The 16,794-nt window shown below is 35.4% G+C and overlaps 1 long non-coding RNA gene across 2 annotated transcripts in view; it reads left to right on the top strand.

Annotated features, from left to right (window-relative positions):
* The window catches only part of LOC124902009 (uncharacterized), a 66,420-nt gene extending 53,103 nt beyond the window's left edge, over nucleotides 1–13,317 (top strand). Inside the window, exons 1-2 of one of the 2 annotated variants that reach the window (XR_007061076.1) lie at nucleotides 5,912–6,402; nucleotides 8,130–13,317. This is a non-coding gene — a long non-coding RNA (uncharacterized LOC124902009). Of the gene's footprint in view, nucleotides 1–5,911; nucleotides 6,403–8,129 lie in introns of those variants that run through there. The other variant, XR_007061077.1, reaches the window with a different exon arrangement.
* Nucleotides 13,318–16,794: the final 3,477 nt, after the last annotated feature.

The following is a 16,794-nucleotide window of genomic DNA, read 5'->3' as shown; positions in this document are numbered from 1 at the left end:
TGTTATTGAAGATGAGATGCCACTGTCACAGTCTTCCTTGACTATGTAAGTCTGGGTTCTGTTACCCACAAAGAGTAGGGTAGAAAACATCCAGAATTGGCCCTAAAGCTTTTGCTTCTCTTAGTAAGTGGATACTTAAACCAGGTTTAATTTACTTTAGTGGGAGTAGGGGATACGGTGACATTTCTTTCACCTATATTATTAATAGAACATCTGTGACTATGGATAAATAACCTAGGGATGAAGAGGTTTAATATCCCTTTTCTAAAATCACATAAGCCATTCTTCTGCCTTCTAAATCCAGGTTGTTGTTTTTTTTCACTAAGATGGGTTGAAAGAAAATTCAGAGCTTCTAATCCCTGGTACCCTCATCTTTGCTCTACGCTACTTTCTTACAAAAGCAAGTTACCTTTGAATCTAACAGGTATGGTCACTTGAGGATGAGGAGAGTTATGTGCAAAGATGACACCCCTGTGATCAGAAGACATTCTCATAAGGATTCATATTGAATGAAATAGGATTCTGATCTATAGTGTTATATTTCTGATGCACAATACTGATGTTTGCCAAAATTAGCTTCCCCTCATTCTTGTTACCTTTAATGGCTAGGTTATTTCAGCTCAACATATAGTATCTATATGGACCTGAATTATTCATGAGGCTGAAAGCATAGCTGTATTCAAAGGTGTTCTGGGTGACCTGCGTTTCACAAGCTGCTTCATCAAAGCTGAGCATGGTTCCCTGGGTTTTAGTGATGCTCTCATCTGCCAGAGACTGACTGGAATATGCAGTCACTCATGGTGAAAGGGAAACATGTTTCTCATTCAGCAAGTATGTGGTTCCATCCACAGAGTTTACAGCACGGTTGTATTTGAAGTTCAGTCCTAGAACTTTGTAGCAGTAAAAATGATCGTGATTTATAGGAAAATGTCACTCGGCCATCTCCACTATAAAAGCCTTTTATAACTCTCATCGAATATAAATCAGGATGTATGCAGCCAACAAAATGATGATTTTGGCATAACGTTTTCAAGACAAAAAGAAATGGCCTAGAATTGTCTTGGCTTTTTACTGAGGACAAATATTACAGGAATTTATTGCTGGTCCAAGATCAATATTCCTGTCTTTAAAAATAGATATGAGTAAATTTATGTCTTGGTGAAATTCCAATTACATAAATTAATTAAAGCAGTCACCACAGAGTTCACCCACAAATACCAAGGATGCCATGCCCTTTTTTTTTTTTAGGTTTTAGCTTTTGTTAAACCATATTCTAAGATACATAACTCAAGCTTAAAGCTATATTTCATTCTAATGGGGGAGGAAAAGGATGGGCCTCACAAAGGATTGATTCAAACTTGCTAAATTTCATGGTGGAAATACAAAAGAAGCTTCATATTGTACTCTTCTCCAAATGTCAACAAGATGTGAAAAATGATGATCGAACAAAAACTGCATTTGAAGTGATGGCCCCATTTTCTCATGTATTTTTGCATCACAGAATACTCAAGGTAGAGATCAGCATAAAGAAGTGAGGGCCAGGTGCAGTAGCTCACTTCTGTAATCCCGGCACTTTGGGAGGCTGAGGCGGGTGGATCACCTGAGGTCAGGAGTTCAATACCAGCCAGGCCAACATGGCAAAGCCCCATCTCTACTAAAAATACAAAAATTAGACAGGCATGGTGGCGGGTGCCTGTGATCCCAACTACTTGGGAGTCTGAGTCAGGAGAATCACTTGAACCCGGGAGGCAGAAGTTGCGGTGAGTGGAGATCGTGCCACTGCACTCCAGCCCGGGAGACAGAGTGAGACGCCGTCTCAAAAATAAATAAATAAATAAATAAATAAATAAATAAATAAATAAATAAATAAAAATAAAAAGAAGTGAGGATTGAGAGAATCCACGATCATGTGAGAATCTGGAAAGAACATCCAGTTCTGTGGCAGCGAAGGAGAGGAGGTAAAAGATCCTTACGTGACTGCCTCAGGGGTGGAAAAAGAATGTTGAGATGCATTGGGAAGAATGATCTCTAAAAGGCTATAAGGAGGTGCTCAGAAAGCAAATCAGGTAAATAAAAAAAAACTTGGCTTTTCTTTTTTTCAGGCAAGTGAGCTCACTCCCCTTACTCCTCTCACTCCAGCACTTACCTTGACATATCTCACCCAAAATATTGTTGAGAGGCAATATTAGGCTCTATGCTGGGCAACTTCGAAGTCCTACTGCTGGCGTGAAGTGAAGGGCAGTCAATATAAGAACTTTTAGGAACTGTTGAAGGAATCAGAAATGTTCATCCTAGACAAGGGAAGTCCCTAGAGACCATGGTACCTGTTGTGTAGAAAAGGAAATATACCTGTTGTGTGAGGTCTCAATGGTTTGATGTAGTATTAATAGAAAGATCTCACATTCATATATTCCACAAAATGTGTATTAAGCGTTATATGCCAGGCAGAGTTTTAGGCACTGAAAATACAGAGAGAGAGAGAGAGAGAGAGAGAGGGTTTTGATTTAATATAAAGCACAGCATTCTTCCCGTTTCTTTTTTTATTTTTAAATTTGAGACAGGGCCTCACTCTATCACCCAGGCTGGAGTGCAGTGGTATAATCTCGGCTCACTGCAACCTCTGCCTCCCAGATTCCAGCCGTTCTCCCACTTCAGCCTCCCCAGTAGCTGGGACTACAGATGCATGCCACTACACCAGACAAATTTTTGTATTTTTTGGTAGAGAATGGGTTTCACCTTATTAGCCATGCTGGGCTCGAACTTCTGACCTCAAGTGATCCGCCTGCCTTGGCCTCCCAAAGTGCTGGGATTACAGGCGTGAGCCACTGTGCGCAGCCTATTCTTCCCTTTTCTTAATCAACATTATTGATTCTAGGTAGTATTCTAAAAAACATCATTTCACATATGGTTCTACTGCTCCTTTCATTGGCCAGTGTTTCCTCTTAGCCTTTGCTTATATAGCAGAAAATCTCTATCATAGTTATAAGGATCAGATATAATTTTATTCTACTTTTAAAATTTAAAAATAGGCCAATCGCTTCCTATGAGTATGAGGTATGAACTTTTTGGTGATGCACTGGGCTGACCTACAAACCAGTGAGTTTTCTATCCTGGGGTCTTTTAAGAAGAATCCAGGTGATTACTTGGAAGTTATTCAAATATTTATAGCAAGGCTGTAGGGATTGTTTTGAGAAGACACTAAAAGAAGGATAATGTGAAAAGAGGCCTAGTGACTCAGAGGTCTGGTGTTAGTGTATATAAAGGGGTTTAATATTGAAGCAGTATTTGAAGCTCATATTCCTCTCTTCTACAACTGTCTAATACTTTCTCCTAGTTCGTGTTTCAATGATTTTTGAATAATTGTTCTCTTTTTTTCTAGTTATCTTCTTAACAATATTATGGCTTTTTTTCCCCTAACAACTCTATGATAAGGAAGAACCCTTCTCATGTAGAAAATTCAGTGCACTATGGATGTCCCAAATATACTATCATCTTTATGGTGTTAGGATAAGCATCTCCAAGGAAGAGACAATGTTCCTAGATAAGATGGTGTTATGTTCTATTCCTCTGCCCTATTGTTAAGAATCATGGAAAAGAAGAGGGAAAATGGAGAACAGAGTCAGTGATATATAGTGTATCAGTAAGATACATGGAATCTTTGTAGAAATTCCTCTGAGTCGAGCTTGAGGCCTGTGACCTGTATGACAGTAAAATTATACTAGCTATGTAATATTTGACTCTCTTCTAAATTATCCCAGGATTATGAAGTATTACAACACAGATTCTGGTATCAATGATATTATCATATGAGACATATTATCAAATAAATTATGTTTAACTTTTCCAATGTATAAAAAAAGCATATAAGAAAATAATAGTGTTAAAATATTGGAAAGAAACCAGAATCACAGGACTTTTTTCTCCCTACATTTAAAAAAATTTAAAAAACAACAGGAAGTATTCATTTAGATACACACATGCTCTAATTTGCCAAATGTAGTGGTAAAGAAAGAAATAGAAGATTTTAATGAGGCTCAATTATTAACTTCTGGCAATGTCCAATTGCCAGAAACAGTATGGTGAAAGATTAGTGGACAACATCTTGAGATTTTGTATTAACAACTGCCCCTCCCCTTCTCCTTCCACATACTCACAGTAATTTGGAAAGAAATAAACTAAGGAGGAAAGTAAACAGAGAAAAAAAATAAGAAGAGAATTTTATATGAACTATCACATGAACTTGGAATCTTAGAAGAGGCCGAAAAACCAGCCTTGGCTCACTGTATTCTAAAACCCTAGGCTCAAGAAAGGAAGTGAACCCAGAAGGAGTGCACAGATTAGGTGATCTTGGGTTCCTGGACGTTTGGCAGAAATCTATGAAGAAAAAGAAGCACTTGGGCTCTTCCACAAAGGCTGAACATGGGCCCAGCAGACGAAATCCACCTCTATCCAGACCCTGAAGCTACAGAAAACTAGACAGAAGGGTAGGCATCCTACTCCTTGGGTGCAGCTAAGAAATGAAAACAAACAGGTCTTAAGTAAGAAAAGAGAGCTGACTTAAAAATCATTTACATTCAATAGAAGTTCTGGACAGAGTGCCATCTGCACATATTAAAAAGGAGAAATATTTTTAAAGAAATACTTGGCAATAATGCAAATATACTACCAGAAAGAAATAGAGGACAGAAGGAAGGAAGGAGGGAAGGAAGGAAGGAAGGAAAAAAGGAAGGAAGGAAGGAAGATAATGGAGGCTGGAGAAAGGAAAAGAGGGAGAGAGGAAAAAAGTGAGAAAGAAGAAAAGAATAAAAAGAAAAAAAAGAAGAGAAAAGAGAATGCAGGCAGGAAGGATACAAAAGGTAGACAAAGAAAACAGTTTGGAAGAAAGCATAAATAAATGAAAGGAAGAAAATTCTCTGTGGCAAGTTAATAAAAATATAAATTTCACAAACCTTGAAATCAAAGATGGAATGTTAAAAGAGTAAATGTTTGCGGAACTGAAAACTAGGACAGTGAATTATGTGCAAGTCACTTAACTGTGTATGCTTAAACAGAAATAAAAAACTTCTGCTTTATATTCCTATAATAAAAATGGAAAAATATATTTCCCTACTCATTGATAAATTGAAAGAATTAAAATACAGTATATCTGGAAAGTCACTAGCAGAGTGGCTAGAACATAGTAAGTGCTCAATGAAAGCAGGATTATTAGCTGCGTGGTATGTATAGCTAGCAGAAGAGAAAGGAAAATCTTAATCGTGATCACTTTAGAGTCTATGCTCTTGTCATTACATCAATTATGAAAACATATTAATAAAAAGCACAGAATGTATGATTATCAAATGTTCTGCCATTCCAATGTGGCAAGGGGTAGATGTGAATACATTAGTTATCACAGTCAAGGATCCAAAACAATAGACTAGAAAATCTAAATTAAAAGAGGATAAATGTGGTGTACTAAACTTTGGTTTTAAAAGATCAAACAAGAATTTAAAAACTAAGTGACAGAATTTCTCAAAAGTTTAAGTAACAGGCAATGGCAACCTCAGTATTATTTAAGTGTAATACAATGTCATAAAAAGCTAAAACCATCTTGGTTTGCTTTATTGAAGGACCCATTTGCAGAAGAGGGATACAAAAATACAATTGAAATTTGCAGAGTTAAGATCACATCTGGATCACAGGATTTCCTTCGGCACACCACACATTTATAAGATATTGACAAATGGAATGTACCCAGGTGTTTCCTGGTATGGTAAAGCATCTGGAAATGACTGAAAGAACTGAGTACATTTAGCATGAATTAAGTAGTGACGTTGGAGTTGTCATCAAATAATTGAAGAAAAGACAGATGGAAGAAGGATAATACGTATGCTGTTCCAAATGCCTGAATTTAGGTAGGACCAGTAATATAATTTAGGCTCAATATAAGGAAGCTTTTTATGTAAAGTTTCATATTATCCAAAGATAGAATTTCCTTTTGAGATGACTTTGTCATTGGATGCGTTCAAGAAGGCAAATTACAATCTCACTGGGTCTATTGTAGAAAGGATTATTGCAATCTTTGGAAGATCAAACTAGATGATTTCTGAGTTTCCTTCAATGCTATTATTGTTGCTATAATAAGAGTTCCGTATGTGAGCTTTGCGGCCAGAAATCCTAAGCGTTTAAAGGTCTGTGTCTATTCGGAGGAGCAGGACATGATATAGATAACCCTTTGCAAAGGGGCTATAACTTACACAATGGCAGTACCATTGTTGGTAGAGATCACAGCATTTGACTGAATGCCAAATTTCCCAGACTGTTGATCTGCAGGTTTTTACCTGAAGAAATCATCTTAATTTTCTTACAGATTTTTGGGAGTGAAAGTATACAAGCAGATGGTGACATCAACAAGAATAGTGGGTATGTGGGAAAGCAATTTTGCTACTATTTTTCAATTATAACCATGGTGAGATATTATTGAAAGGGAATAATGTCAATTTTTTTTAGACATTTTGTATACTAACCCGTATCTGGTGGGAACAGAAGGATGTTACCAAGACAATAGGATCTTGTTGATCAAGTATAAGTCAAGTGTATGATTTCCTTGACATTTACATGAATTAATGCATTCCCTCTTCCATATCTATGGAGTGCACACTGCCCCCCTCCACCCACAGTCACATGGGCATCTCTGCTTCTAATTTCCTGTGCCTTCTGAGCCCTAAGTCTCCTTTCACCACCCTTTACTGATGCAGATACACAATAAACTTCCTTTTTTTAGATGTCTCTCATACAAGAATTTGGGATGAAGTAGGTTGTACTGAAAGTTTGGGAGATAAAGGATGCTTTCATAGAGATATATAGCAATAAACTTAAATATTAAAATAAGCAATTTCTTGTTATGATAATTCTTCTCGCCAATTTGCCACAGAGATTTCTCCTAGACAGCATTTCTTTACAGGTTGCAGACCACTACAATGTTTTCCAGCTTCCTCCTTTTTCTTTTTTTTTGTTTTTGTCCTCCTATTCTCTTTATTCCAAATCCAAATATCTGTTGTTCTTCTTAAGCAAAGCAGTTAAGTATCTCCTCTCACTCAAACCACTATGTTTTCACATTTCCTAGCTAAAGTAACCAAAGGATCTTTCTAAATAAAGTTCTTAACCTACGTGAAATTAAGGTGCCAACTACTAAAATATATTTTTCTACAAATTCTTATTTTTGATTGTCTGAATGGGGACCCTCTAATAGCTATATCATTGAATCTGGACTATTGATTATTGAGGATAGCAGAGTTAGGTGGAAGAAATGTGAGATTTGGAGTGAAAGGTTTAGGTTTTATATACCTGCTTTTCCATTTAAATGCTATATGGCTTTGGAGAACTGACACAGACCCTCTGAGCCTCTTTTTGCCATCATAAATTTGGGATGACTTCCACTTTAGAAAATAATTATAGGATTATCTGAGAATGTGTAGACAAATCGCTCAACTAAGTAGCTGGCATGTACTAACCCTCAATAAATGTTCAGTTTTGTTATCTTGGAATTCATTCCTCTTCTTCCTAGCTTCCCCCACCCCTGCCAATATCTTGTAACCATATTCTGATTTATAGCTTGGAATAATGGGAAATGCTATCAAACAGGTAGATATGGATAAAAAATATTTTTACAGTCAAATTTTAGCCCTTTCTTTATATATTTCATAACCAAACTCCTGCATTACTATGCACCCACACAATGGAATTGAGAAATTAGCTTCTAAACGTACTGAAAGCAGAATAATCATGGGCAGAAAATGGACTTGGGAGGACCCTGGAAGCTCTTAAATGCTGGGACTGTGTGGAAATATTTCATACACTGTTATTGGTATGTTTTCCTCATTTGTGGCAACTGATGCAGTGGTATTTTTGTTTGTTTGTTTTTTTCATTTCTTTTGAGCAGAGCATATGCTCAGAGAATGATGCCAAGCAGGGTGAAAGGTTGGAAACTAAGCAGGACTCAGGCCTCATCTTCTGCAGCTTTTGGAAATTATAATGACAATCTGATAATGGAAAAAGAGTGCTGTTTACAGCTTAAGCTAAAAAATTATGTGTGTCTCCCCTTTGGCAATTTTTATTTTTAATGGATCTTTTCTGTCTCCTCCTTATAGAGTGCCTGGACATCAGCATCAGATCAATTTGGAATTTCATGCAAATAAAACACACCAACTTAATGGGATGTGAAAGAGTTGGCTTCAAAATAAATCCTTGTTGAAAGGCACTGGAATTACATTTGAAATGGAAGTGAAACAAAGTTGAATTTTATGGCACTGGCTTACAGGCTCTGTCTTGCACTGTTTACAGATTGACCCAAATAAAGTGAAGAAGACCAGAATCAGGACCCATCCTGGCATATACCTTTCACCTGATAACATCTGTTGGTTCCTATGTATTTAATATATGTATTTTCATGTTTATTTCTTTATTTTTATTAACTTTTCCAATAAGATTTCTCCCCCAAAATACTAATGTCAATTAACATTTAAATATAGAACTGTAAGTTTAAATATAGAACTGTGTTGGGCTAGACACAATATGATTTCCTAATTATTACCAACCTGTTTCATTTAATTTGTAGAATCCCTTGCAGTTTTTAAATAACTCTCTACAATCTCATTTCTTCCTGTTATCAATCCAGTACTGATAAAGTAGTATCCCTAAACTATAGTTGAAAACATTGTAATTCAGAAAAGTGAAGAGACTCATCCAATGCATATATTTGAAAGCAACATAGCTGATTTCAGGGTTTTCTAGATCTTATTTCCTGGCTGGCTTGGTGTAGGTGGTAGTAAATAACATATGTGGTTTTGGTACTGCAGATTTTAATCTATGGTGATCCACATTCTGTTCCAGAGACACCATGCATTACTATGGTCTCCAGGCTGTTGGCGATCATAACACTAGGGGGCACCATTTTGACTTCCTTCTTACATTAGCCTTTAGGGCCTTCATATTTTCGTATTGAAGGTTGATGATGAAATCATGGGGAATTTTATTTCATCTTGTTCAGACAAGATTTTTGCAAGAGGCTTTACTTATGAAAGGGAGATGATGCTTTCTTTCCACTAGTGAAGATGTGTAGAAAATTAATTCCTACAGAGTTCTAATTCCTATGACTAATATCAAGAAATGAGTATTGTAGAGTAGGACACATTCTTAGGGACTGTCATGCTCATTTAACTCTTAAACAGCTGGATTCCTTTCTCTTTTTCTCCTCACCCTTACAGGGATATGGGCAGAGGGCCCCTTGTGTGACTTTAGAAGGAGGTTTTGAGGGTAAGAGAAGGATTTCTCTGTCATCAAAGATAGCTACTCTGGTATTGTGGCTTAGCCGCAGCAACTATGCAGAACCAAACCATTAGCACCCAGCTCTCAAAGAGATGTTGCATTTTGGGATGTTTGTATATGCAGAGGTTACAAACTACTTGATGTATGAATTGATTTTTGCTGCATAACAATTAATCAATTATTTTCATACTCATGGGTCTGCAGGTTGACTATTTTCATACTCACGGTTCTGCAGGTTTTCTGATTAAGAGGAGAAGCTCTATGATAAGCCAGAGAAGAAAAGCAAGAATCTAAGAACAAGGTGCTACTTGGTATCTGCTCTCTGGGTCTATGTAATTTGGAGTTCCTAGCAGAGTGCGTAATGCATTTAGAGAGAGGTATTTGTCTTTTCAAAATAGGATCCTGGACCTAATGGGCACTGCTTGAATTCAATACCAGAATATGATTCTAAATATCAGTAAAGTTTAAGATCATATACATGCAATACTTCACAAGGTTTCTGGGTAGGGATTTTATGAAGAGATGACTTAATTATTTTTTGAGTATTCCTGACTCAATACTCAATAAAGATAGTGCTATGCTGTTTACACGCACGTGCATAACAAACTATAAAGGACACATAGTAAGTAATAAACTCAGTGTCACATTCCTCTCACAGCCTGCTGATGACTATAATTAATAACTGTTTTTTTACCTTGAAATTTGATGAGAGCAGATTTTAATTGTTCTCACCACACACACATGCCCACATGCATGCACACACACAAATAACTGTGAGTGATGCTGAATGTGTTAACTAATTGGATTGTGGTCATCACTATACAATGTATACTTATATCAAATCATCATGTTTTATACCTCGAACATACACATTTTTTGTCAATTATATCTCATTAAAGCTGGAAAAATGTATTTCTGATAGGTCGAGGAAAAAAAAGCAATTCTTAAGAAAAAAAAAACAGAGGCAAGTAGATGATCACCTCCTGAGGTTATCAATGACTGTACATTGATGTCTAGTTTTGATGTTTATAATTCTACCAAGTGAATATGTTCTGCATTCTTAGACTTTCACATCGAGGTTTCTCTAGGGATTGGAAGGAGCTCCATAAAGATTAACTGTGTAACGACATTCAGCATCCCCAGAAGCAGCATCCTACTGCTTAATAACCTCATTTCCAATAGTGTGTTGTCTCCAAGTGCATGAGCACATGCACAAATACATAACACACATGATGGAACCATATAATCTCCATGTTGCAAGGGACTCTAAAGAGACTTGTAGTTCAGGAAGACTTGCCCAGTAATAAGTATTCTTCACATCATCTCTAACTCTTCATAATATTGGATTCTACTAGAAAAATACACAGGAAGAAAAATCTAACTATATCTTGTGGTTGCCAATTTCATTTATGCTTATCCCAATTGTTAAGAACTTTCTGTTTTCATCGTATGGAGCAGGATTTCATCTCCCCACAGACACCTCTCTGGGGTCCTAATTAAACCTTCTTGGATTAAAATCAGCTATAACAATCTCAGTTTTTGTAGTTATCTCCACACTGCATTGTGGATTCTGGTGACAAAACATTTGTTCAGGGTCTGCATGCTTTTAACTTACCTGTCTATCCTTTTAGTTCTCTCCTTAACTAAACTGGAAACACCAATAGGCCTCCAGGGTAGAATATGAAGCCCTAAGCAATTAACAGATGTGGAGGGTTATAGGAACACTGAGAATTGCTATGATTGGTGTGTGGGGAGTCATAGCCAGGGCTTGTAGCCCAGAGACAGATGATTTTGATTTCCCACCTCTCTTTGATGCCCTTGTTGACAGATGATGTGAAACTAGCTCCCCTGAGTGTAGTTTGTCTGAATTTACTGGATTTGCAGGTGTTTGGCTTCATCCCACTAATGTATAATGATACAAATGGTCTCTAAGGCTTACTCAGTGCAGAAAGATCTCATGTATCATAGAAAACCAGAATATTAGAGTGAGAAGTAACTTTAAAGATGATCTAGTCTTACCCCGATTTTATTTTTTATTTTATTTTTTTTCTTTCTTTTAGACTTCAAATATCGAGTGTCCTGTTAATTATATTTCCTAGTGGTTCAATGATACTTCGTCTTGATGTCCTCTTGAGTATTTTCCCCTTTATCACCCATCTCTCTCCATTCTCCCTTTCCCATGATTGGGTACTCACTCTATGTCTTTAAAGATGTATGATTCTTTGAAAAAATTATGTCATTATTTTATGCTTACATGTGTTTTTAATTTGCATAAGTACAGGTACTTTATATCTCATTATTTGTAGTTCTTTTCCCATCAACATTATGTTTTGTGTGTTTGTATCCTGTGTTGCTTCTGACAGCTGCTTAGTAAAACACTGAACACACTCCCCGTTTTCTGCCTACCCATCCATTCATAGATGCATACCTAGATTGTCATAAACTCCCCACTTCCATACATAATGCCCCGATGAACATTGTTAGCTATGCATCCTTATAGATCTATGAACAGTTGTTTCTGGGATACATATTAAAGAGGGGGTTTCTAGGATTTACTAATGTTTGATTTCATTAAATACTTCAAAGTGCTTTCTGGAATGACTGCAAGTCTATACTTCTAACTGCAGGTGCATTACCTTTTTCCCATATTCATGCCAAATGTAGCATTACTCTCTTCCTAATTTTTGCCAACATAATGGGTATAAAGTGTATAAAGTGTTATAGTTTAATGTTAGTCTGAGATTTTTTATTACTTGTATTTTAGGCATCTTATATGCTTGGTGGTGTTTTAGGTTTCATTGTCTGTGAATTGCTTATTTGTTTCCTTTACCCATTTTTTCAACTTAGCTTACGAGGTTTTAAAGTACATTTGCAAGAATTCCTTGAATATTTTTGACATTAACACTATGGTTTTTTTTAAACATAATATATTTATCACACTCAGGAAATTTGACATTGGGGTTATGTTGTTACATGCATTTCATATTCACGTTTCTTATAACAATAAGAACAATAACAAAATAATAAAAATAGTGTCCTTAATATTGTTTTTGTTAAACCCACTATCCAATTAAAGATCATACATTGCAGTTATTCTCATATCTCTTTCCTTTCCTTTAAAGATTGTCCCCAAGCACTTAAAAAAATTTTATGGGTACATAGAAGATGTGTATATTTATGGGGTACATTAGTTCTTCTTTAAATGTTTGGTAAAATTCAGTAGCGAAGCTATCAGGTCGTGGGCTTTTCTGTGCTGGAAGACTCTTTATTACTGCATCTATCTCATTACTTGTTATTAGTCTGTTCGGGTTTTGGATTTCTCTGCTTAATTTCAGTGTTCTCTCTTACAAGTTCTATTCTAGCAGTGATTGTTCATAATTTTGGTTTTTCTTTCTGGAAGAGGCAAGTGTTGGATGCCTCCTTTTCTATGGTAGGTTTTTTATATTTAGCCTCTATCAAATTAAGAATGTCTTTTTCTATTCTTAGTTTTCTGAAAAAGTTTATTTTAAATTATGTATTGGTATTGAACTTAATAAAAAATTTGTTTTTATGTATATATATATATATATATAAACTCATGCAATCTTTGCTAGTTAGCCCATTAATGTGAAGGATTACATCACAAATATTCTGATAATAAATAAAAGGCATGTTTTAGGGATCCACCATTATTTTATCATAATATATTATTTTAAAATAAATTTTTTGATAAGATTTTAAAAAATTTAGCTAGTTAACGTTTTGTTTATTTATTTATCTCACAATGACTTCTAGATAAAAATATGGATTCCATTGTAGTGAAGTGATTTGCTTGAAGACAACTTATCAGCTTTAGACCCCAGAGTTCCTTATTCTTTATCTGGTCCCTTTGCTTAGTTCTTCTCTAAGATTGAATTCTAACAAATTATAATCTTGCTTATTGTGCATTTTAATGGAAACTTGTGTATTATTTTTAAGATGGAAGCTTTGTCTTATCACAACTGGTTGAAAGTAAAAATTTTAATAAGCAGATAATGTTTTTTGTCTATGTGATACAAAACAATGGTTTTTAACTTCTTAATTTTAAATTGGATTGATTTTTTGTGTGTGACCTAAAAATGATGTGATGAATCAATTATCCATGGCCTTCATACTTACGAGTCACTCCTCTCATAATTTCTTTCTGCTTGAAAGAGCTTCTCTCTCAATTTATGAGAAAAGATATTTCTGCAATGAGGCATATCAAGGACATATGAGAATTTACCTACCCTTGTCCTCCAAGGCTTCTCCTGTGTGCCATAAAAATTAAGAATGATGCAAATATATTCATCAAATATCAATTAATGTAATCCACCACATCAAAAGACTAGAGAAGAAAAATTACATGATCATATCGATAGATGCAGAAAAACGTTTGACAAGTTTTAACAGCCATTAATGATTAAAAATTCAGCAAATTAAGAATAGAGGGGAACTTCCTCAACTTGACTATAGAATATTTATAAAGCTCTACAGTTAATATTATACTAAATGGTGAGAAACTGAAAGCTTTCCTGTTAAGATCAGAAACAAGGCTAGCATGATGCCTCTTACTACTACTTTTAAATACTGTGCTGAAAGCTAATGCCGTAAGACAAGAAAAGGAAATTAAAGGTATACTGATTGGGAAGGAAGAAATAAAACTATCTTTGTTCACAGATGATGTCATCATGTATCTAGAAAATCTGAAAGAATCAGCAAGGAGAATATATACACACACAGACACGAACATACCCTAGACTTCCTGGAACTGAGCAGTGATAATAGCAAGGTTGTATGATACAAGGTTAATATACAAAAGTCAATCACTTTTCTGTATATAAGCAATGAACAACTGAATTCTGAAATTAAAAACACAATACCATTTACATGATCAACCCCCAAAATAACATACTTAGATAAAAATCTAATAATATATGTACAAGATCTGTATGAGGGAAACTACAAAACTCTTATGAAAGAAATCAAAGAAACAGTAAATAAATAAAGTGATATTCCATTTTCATGGATAGGAAGACTTAATATTTCCAAGATGTCAGTTCTTCCTAACAGGATCTGTAGATCCTGTGCAATTCTAATAATAATTCCAGAAAGTTATTTTGTAGATATTTTGTAGATTTATTTTGTCAATAAATCTAAACTTTATATGGAGAAGTAAAAGACCCAGAAGAGCCAACACAATATTGAAGAAGAGTGAAGTTGGAGGATTAACACTATCTAACCTCAAGACTTACTATAAAGCTACAGTAATCAAGACAATGTAATTTTGGTGAAAAAATAGATGTATCAAGACAACAGTATAGAGTCATGTACCATATAACACTATTTTGTTCAATGACAGGCTGTATATACAACAGTGGTCCCCTAGGTTTACAATGAATCATATATAGAAACCTGACTTACAGCACTTGATATTGGCATTACAGGTTAACTAGGGGAAATGATTAGTATTCAGAGGAATGGTGCTGGGACATTTGGTTTTCCTTAAGAAAAAAAAGTATAAGAATATGTATCATCTAGATTTCTGTAAGTATACTTCATGATGTTTGTACAATAATGAAATCACCTGACAATGCATTCTTCAGAACAAATCCCAGTCATTAAGTGATACATCACTATACAGAGCTCATAGGCAGACTCACACAAATATAGTCAACTAATCTTTGACAAAGAAGCAAGGAGAAAATGGAGCAATGAAGAAAAGACTCTTTTCAACAAATGGTACTGGCACAACTGGTCATCCATATGCAAAAAAAAAAAAAAAAATCTAGACACAGAGCTTACACCCTTCACAAAATTAATTCAAAATGAATGACAGCCCTAAATGTAAAATGCAAAAATACTAATCTCCTGGAAAATAACATAGGGGAAAATCTAGATGACCTTGAGCTTGGGAGTGACTTTTTAGATAGAACACTTAAGCAATGATCTACAAAAGAAATAATTGATAAGCTGGCCTTTATTAAAATTAAAAACTTCTGCTCTGAGAAAGACAATGCCAAGAGAATGAAAAGATAAGCCACATAATGAGAGAAAATATTTACAAAAGAGTTATCTGACAAAAGACTGTTACCCAAAATGGATAATGAACTCTTACAACTCAGCATAAAGAAACAAACAATTTGATTTAAAAAAAATGGGCCAAAGACCTGAACAGACACCTCACTGGAGATGACAGACAAATGCCATATAATCACATGAAAAGATCCACATCATATACCACTAGGGAATTGCAAATTAAAACGACAATAAGCCACCATCGCACACCTGTTAGAATGGTGAAAGACAAAACACTGACAACAACAACACATGCTGGAGACAATGTGAAGCAACAGGAACACTTATTCATTGTCAATGAGAATATACAATAGTATAGTCACTCTGGAAGACAGTTTGGCAGTTTCTTACAAAACTAAACATACTTTTGCCCTGCAATCCAGCAGTCATATCCCTTAGTATTTACCGAAAGGGGCTGAAAACTTACATCCACAGCAAAACCTGCACATGGATGCTTATAACAGTTTTATTTATGATTGTCCTAACTTGGGAGCAAGCAAGATGTCCCTTGGTAGATGAATGAATAAATAAACAGTGGTACATCCAGACACTGGAATATTATTCACCACTAAAAAGAACTGAATTCTCAACCCATAAAAGACACAGAGGGATCTTAACTGCTTATAAGAAAGTGAAAAAAAAAAAAAAGCCAAGCTGAAAAAGCTACATACTGTATGATTCCAACTCCATGACATTCTGGAAATGGCAAAACTATGGAGAGAGTGGTTGCCAGGGATTAGAAGGTGAGAAAGGATGAATCAGTGAAGCACAGAAAATTTTTAGGGCAGTGAAACTATTCTGTATGATACTATAATGATGGAAGCCTTCCACTATATATTTGTCAAAGCCTATAATGTACAAAACCAATGTAAATTATGGACTCTAAGTGATAATCACGTGCCAATGGAGGTTCATTAATGAAAACAAATGTATTATACTACTCTGGTGTAGGGATCTTTATAATGGAGGAGGCTATACATTTGGGTAGGGGTAAGAGGTAAATAGAAACTCTTTGTACTTTTCACTCAATATGCCTCTGAACCTAAAACCTATCTAAAAATAACATTTATTAAGAGGAAAAAGCATATAGTCAGCCCTCAACTAACAGATGAACTGTGCTTCATAGATTATGTAATGGTTTGAACCAAGAGCATGTTCCCATAGAAATATCCATGATACTTAAGACCCAAAGCTAAATCACGTGAACCTTTTTAATTTACAACATGGCTGGAATTGTGTGGTTGGGACTGCAATTCCATCAATAAGAAAAAGCAATCCTTTCTGGAAATGCCTTCTGTGGCACATGATAATATATGAATGACTTTCCTTCCTTTTGACCAGTTCTGCTTCTTGCCAGATGTCTATGAATGTATCTCTCATGTCTCATTAATTCAATACACATTTATCAAGCAT

This window comes from Homo sapiens, chromosome 8, assembly GCF_000001405.40.
Source record: "Homo sapiens chromosome 8, GRCh38.p14 Primary Assembly".
Classification (NCBI taxonomy): Eukaryota; Metazoa; Chordata; class Mammalia; order Primates; family Hominidae; genus Homo; species Homo sapiens.
The sequence above is the reverse complement of the archived record's forward strand: the minus strand, read 5'-3'. Positions and strand labels throughout refer to the sequence as shown.